Source organism: Homo sapiens, chromosome 7 (genome assembly GCF_000001405.40).
Source record: "Homo sapiens chromosome 7, GRCh38.p14 Primary Assembly".
Classification (NCBI taxonomy): Eukaryota; Metazoa; Chordata; class Mammalia; order Primates; family Hominidae; genus Homo; species Homo sapiens.
The window spans coordinates 27,487,589-27,494,072 of NC_000007.14; the positions used below are offsets into that span (position 1 = coordinate 27,487,589).

Consider the following 6,484-nt stretch of genomic DNA (forward strand, 5'->3'; position numbering starts at 1 on the left):
TTTTAATGAGAAGCATCTTATCATTTTTACTTGACCCCTGGACTGCAGTGGAAGCCACGTCCCAGCTTGCACGTCCTCCCACTCTGGAGTGCAAACGAGCTCCCACTTGCACCACGCGTTCCCTGTGTGCTGGGCCCCGCTGGGCGGTCAAGGGCATTGTCTCACTTACTCCTCACAGCATCCTCTGAGGTGTGCACTATTTCTAGCCCTATTTTACAGAGAGGAGACGGGTTTGGAAAGGAAAAGCAAGTTACCCAAAGTCAACTGGGCAGCCTGACTCCATCCCTCCACCTCTCATTGCTCTTTTAGTAGTTTAAACAACACATCCAAAAGTTAAAGATCTAAAATCCCATTTCTTGACCCCCTAAAGTCCGATGCTTGATTTCAGTGATGTGGTCCTGTAGCTCAAGCAATGCAGGGTAAAGGAGACGGGGTCAAAATCTGCTGACAGTGCCCAGTGCCTTTGCCCATGCAGGAGAGGGGACGGCTGCCCACTGTTGTCCTATGGCTGGCACCTTCTCCTTGTCCTTCCTCTGGAGAAGAGATGTGGTCACAGCTGATCTGCCACAGTGAGAAGCAGCTTCTCTTGGCAGACTGGCAGTGTGTATGGATAACCTCGGGGTTCATTGGAACTGCTCTTGCAGGTGGGGGTCTGCCCCACCAACCATCACCTTGTGTCCGCTCTGGCTCAGGACATCTGCTCCTGGGCACACGTGCAAAACATCTCCTCCCCAGGAATGGCCTTTGAGGGGATATCCTTGAGTGCAGCCTGGCTCACTCAGACTTCTCTCAATTGGGAGATCACCTGCTTTCATCAGTCTCTAATTTAGAGTTCTCTACCTGATTTAACAAGACACTAGTGCTGTCCTCGGGATTCCTGGAGTCTACAAGTCTTTGCTTGGAAATCCCTGGGGAGAAAGAAAGGTGCCCTAAACTTCTTTCTTCCTCACCTTTAAAGGGGTTCCCATTGAAAATCCTCCCTGCTCCCCTCCTTTCCTAAACAAAAGGCATTCTTTACAGTCCCCCTAACTCACAGTTTGTTTTATTTTTCAATATTTGGTGGTTGCTTTAGTTTAAGGTCCTTGGGGGATTTAAACTACACGGATTAAAGAAGAGCAGCTGGAAGGTGGAGAACATTTCAGCAGAGTATCTTTTCTCTCTCTAATTGGTAGCAGCACAAACTGTAACAAGGTGAATCTAATTCCATTCTGCTGAGAGAGGAAGAGTTTTGTTTTTATTATCCTTCCAAGACTGGCAAATTGGCAGGGTTTTTTTTTTTCTAATATAATAAAAAGTAGAAAAGCCCCAGTTTCTTCCCATTTCTGAGGAAACATCAAATGTGGGGGTCAAATGAGGACACAGACATGTCCCTTTCATCACACCATTGCCTTGTTCTAGAGCCTCCCTTGCCTGCCAGGACCCATCTTATCTAGTTCAGCCTGGTTCAGTGTTGCTTGGAGACACTTGCCACCTTCTCTGGTCCTACCACTCTGCGCCCACACCTGCTGGGGCTGGTCTGAAGGGCACCTGCTTCACATCAGCAGCTTTCTCCACCTCTGGACCGGTCTGTTACCCACCTTCAAGACCTTCCTCAAGCCTCATCTCTCCACAAAGCTTCTCCAGACTCAACCAGACCCATAAGACTGCTCCCTTTCTGTGAATTCCTTTAGCCCTTATGCCCATTACTGCAACCATGCACTGCTTGGCATAGTTCTCTAGGTGTGACCACAGCAGCATGGAGGGAACCTTCAACTGTCATAGACATAAACCCTGTGCACACTGTGAAAACAATTACTATAACCCCCTCCATACTCTTATATTGGCCAATTAAAAAGCAGCTAAATACAGCCCTAACAGAGGGTAATTTGGTAATATGAATTTAAAAACTTAATATTTTGTAGACCCTTTTACCCAGCAATTACACTTCTAGAAATATCTCCTCAGAAAAAAATCATGTTTGCAGGAATGTCCATTAGGAATATTTATTCTAAAAATTGGAAATAATTCAAATGTCCAACAATAGGCAAATGGCTAAATTATAGAGCAGCTATGCAAAGGGCTATTCTATAGTCATTCAGATATTATAGAATAGTATTTAATGACAGGGGAAGATATTAAGGTTTTATTATTCAGTAAAACAAAACCAAACCAGACTTCAAATTAATGGCAAATTTTACTTTAAATTATCTATCTACAGCTCAGAAGAGCTAAAAAAGAAATAGACGAGTCATAGAATTAGAAGGTAAAGCTCTTTCGATGGGTAGTGATTCATTTTCTATATGCTAGAAAAAAATTAAAATACACATAAGCAAAGGAAGAGAAAAATTGGCCAGCTGCCTCCACCCACATATAACCAAAATTAACATTTTGGTGGAGGCTTCCCATGACTTTTCTATGTGTGCATGCAAGTGCATGTGTGCTTGGGTATGAGTGCATGTATCAAGAGTGGTACTCTTTTAATAGTCCTTGGGTCATTAACATAGAGATGCAGTATACATCCTGACTTATAAAAGCCTGATGTTATTTTATACTTCTACCCTCTTCTGATAATGCCTTAAAATACTGATTTATTAATTTACCCCCTTCCATCCCACTCTGACCTTACATATTATTGTTGCCATGCATTTTAATTCCATAGGTATTATAAATTCCATGAGGCATTATGATAATCAATATTTATTTATATTTCCTACATACATTTTCCATTGCTCTTCGTTCCTTTCTACACCTCCAATTTCTGTCTTTAATCATTTTCCTTCTGTGTGAAGAATAACCTTTAGTATTCCTTCAGTACAGGTCTTCTGCTGACAAATTTATCCATGTTTGGTTGAAAATGTTTTTATTTCATCTTCATTCTTTAAGGGTATTTTTACTGAGTGTAGGATCCTCAGTTGGTTGATTTTCTGTCAACTCTTTGAAGATGTTTTGAACAGTTTTGCTGTGATGTGCCTAGGTCTGCTTTTGCTTTTATTCGTCCTGCTAGGAGCTGGTAGTACTTCCTGAGTCTGTGGCTCAATGTCTTTCATCATTTTTTGAAGATTCTCAGCTACTGTCTCTTCAGATATTGCTTCTACCCAATCTCTCTCCTCACTTTTGGGACTCCAATTACACATTATGTTAGATTCCTCACAGTATCCCCATGTCTCTTATTCTTTCCTCTGTCATCATTCATCATTCCAAATATTTTTTCATGGCCTATCTTGCAGATCATTAATTTTCTATTCAGGTGCATCTATTCTTCTATTAAACTCACTCAATGAATTATTAGTTTCAGTTACTGAATTTTTCAATTCTACAGATTCCATTTGATTTTTCTCTGTGAAAAATCACAATGTTATTTATTTATTTTTGCATTTTGATTGTTTATTATGTTTTCTCTCCATCAGAATAAAAGCTCCTACTTTGGTCTACTGTCTGTATTGGTTGGTGCCTAGGATTGTGCCTGTATGCGACAAGCACGCAATAAATATAAATATTTTTGCTGTAGACTGGACGGACATGAGTTAGATTATCTGGGGCTTCTGCAGAGTTTGGTTTGGAAAGGGGGTGCTAGGGAAAAACCCTGCTCCCTGCAGCCTCCCATTTTAATCTTTCAGTGTTGAAAAGTAGGGAGGAGCTGGATTCAGTTTGCTGGGGACAGAGCCAGTGGGGCGCCGAGGTGCCCAGAGCAGCCTTTGGGAAGGTGTGGGGGAAGTTGGATTCCCAACTGCCAGCCTCCAGGCCTGGGATGGACCTAGGACGCTGAGACAGGACATACATCGCTAGGGAAGTCACCCACCAGTCACCAGCTCACTGAGGAACCAGAAAAATGTACTGTTCTTGGTTTGAAGGCACTTGGAGAAGGAGAGGAAGGAGGGATGGGGGCTGAATCTCTTCCCGCCCCATCTCTGCCAGGTCCCAGCCCCACCTCTGGGCTTCTGTCCCACAGAGACCTGCCTGCAAGTCTTCAAAGGCCAAGGAACCCCAGTTGGGGGTCCCTATTCTGGAGCCATGGGGTTGGAGTGCCGGCTCCAGCAGAGTTGTCTGAGCAGCGGCCTGAGGTGCTGGGTCTGACATGATTGTTGGCCGTGGAAGGCCTCGGGCCATCCTGAGCTCAGATCTTGGCTGCCGGCCGCTAGGGCGGCTGCTTCTGCAGCAGGGCTAGGGTGTCCCGCTTCTCAATGGAGCGCAGCTGCTGCTGCTTTGCCCGCTTGAGCTTGGCAGGGTTTCGGATCACTTGGACGATCTCCACCTTCCGCTCGTTCTCCAGGCGGCATTTCAGGTTCTCCGCCCGACGCTGTTTCTTCTCCTGGCGGCGCCTCTCCTACTCCTCCTCCAGGTGACGGGCAAAGTCCTTGGCCAGCTTCCTCTCCTGCTTCATCTTCCGCTGCCACGATATACGCAGGGGCTTGTCCTAAAGCATCTGAGAGAATCTTTTCTTGGAGCGGTCCTTCCACACTTGCCCCGACTTGGGCTTCCCCTTCGGGATTACAGGAAGCTCCTCCTCCTTCAGCTTCTTGGACGCTGGGGCCTGGGATGAAGAACCCTTTGGCTTCTTTGCCCCGAAGCCGTCTGTCACCATCTCCCCAGCTGGAGGTGGTTTGCTCTGCTCGTGCTGACCCTGGGGGAAGCCAGGTGCCTCGAGTGTTAGCTGCAGTAGTGGCTGAGAGGGCTCCGGACCCGGAGCTTCCTGACTGGGGTTAAGGCTCTGGTGATCCTGGGCCCGGCAGTAGCTGATGCTGGGGGGCCCCCTGGGATCAGCTCCTCCTTACTTTGGGCCAACTCCGAGGCCAGGTACTCCCTGGCCCTGAGCACACTTGGGTGCCTCCTCACTTGGCTTCGGCTGACATCGTGGGGATTGAGGACTGGACTCCAGCTGTCTTTGAGGCGACTCCAGGTGTAGGCCTTGCTGACACTGGGGGGACCCTGGACCTGATTCTAGCCGCCCTTGGGGGGACTCCAAGCCTGCACCCTGCTGCAAAGACTGGGTGATCCTGGGCTTCTCTCCAGCGTCCTTTCGGGGGGCCCCAGGCCAGCTTGTTGCACACTCGGAGGAGACCCGGGCTCCCTCGTTTCTTCTGTGTCCAACTCGAACTCCACAAGGACCCATCTCCTACGTGAAACTGAGGTGAGGCTCTGGAGGGATTCAGGCCCTAGGCCTTCCAGCTGTCGGCTTCGCCTTGGCGGTGTATCCATCGTTCAGTCGGTAAGTTTCCAAACCCCTACACACATCCACAATGTTATCTTTAAACATATCAGGCATGGTTATTTTAAAGTCTATGTTAATACCTTCCTTGTTTGGATCCCCCGTGGATCTATTCTTTCTCTTGATTTTCATTTGTACTTTTCTTTTTTCTCATATGCCTGGTTATTTTTGCATAAGTGCCTGAAATTGGTTATGAAAAATAGTAGAAAAAATTAAAAGTTAGAAGAATGTTACCATGTCTTCAGAAAGGATTTATCTGTGCATCTGGATGATAGCTGGGGCATTAGCAACCTAGGATCCCATTAATCCAATTCAGTAATGAGAGGATTTTAAGCTGAGTTTCAGTCCTTTTGAAAGTTAGTTTACTTCTAGTTCATCTTTTTAGTTTACTTCTAGTTCATCTTTTCTTCCAGAGTATAGATAATTATGAGTATCACCTCAAATTATAGAATCCAGTTTCTGTTCCCCTGTGTTCTGCAAAGCAATCAAAGCCCTGTTTATGTTTTTAACCTCTCAACCATCTCTTCTGGGATTGGCAGAGGTAGTCCTAAATGCCACTGGGTTTCCATTGCTCTGGGTTTCTGCCTTCCCCCAAATCTTAACCTGGTAACTCTTTTCTGCCTTATTTGTTCTCTAATGCCTTCAAGCAGATTTTTACAAACTACTTTGTTCAGCTTTTCTGATTGTCTTCAACAGATAGGTAGGTTGGTCCAAATATCCTATTCTGCCACTACTGAAAGCAGAAATCTGATATCTATTATGAAATTCATTTTTAAAGGGCTTCTATAGCTATTTTTTAACCCCTATTACTGAATAATTTGCCACTTTCTGTTTCTTATTACTGTTGAATTGGTTGTCCTTTGTTCCTTTGAATCTCAAAAGAATTGCCAACCAAAACCGTAGAAAATTACTTCTGCCTGGGACTGTTTAAGGATTCTTTCTCCTGTGGTTCATCTACTTATATCCCACTTTACTGCTCAGAAACTCAACCATGATATCGCCTGGCCAATTGGGACCCAAGACAAGAGTGCTCTTGAAGTCTCCCTGAGTGCAGACTACCCTGCCTCTTCCTCCCTGGGGTCTAATTCTTGCCAATGGATGAAAGCCTGTCGTGGCCCAGATCTACTATCCTAATTCTAATGCTTTGGGGCTCTATAGAAGAAAAATGCAGTCTACAATTCCACACACCAAAAGCCTGGGAAGCAAAGCCAAAGCATCAACAAGATCATATTTTAATCTGCCTTTTGCCTGCCTCTCATTTGTATTGGTGAGAGCTACAGCTACTGGCCCCTTTTCTGT

The 6,484-nt window shown here is 45.5% G+C and overlaps 1 pseudogene; it reads right to left on the reverse strand.

The window, feature by feature from the left end:
* Positions 1 to 3,893: 3,893 nt before the first annotated feature.
* Positions 3,894 to 5,187, reverse strand: LOC442292 (coiled-coil domain containing 86 pseudogene; annotated as a pseudogene).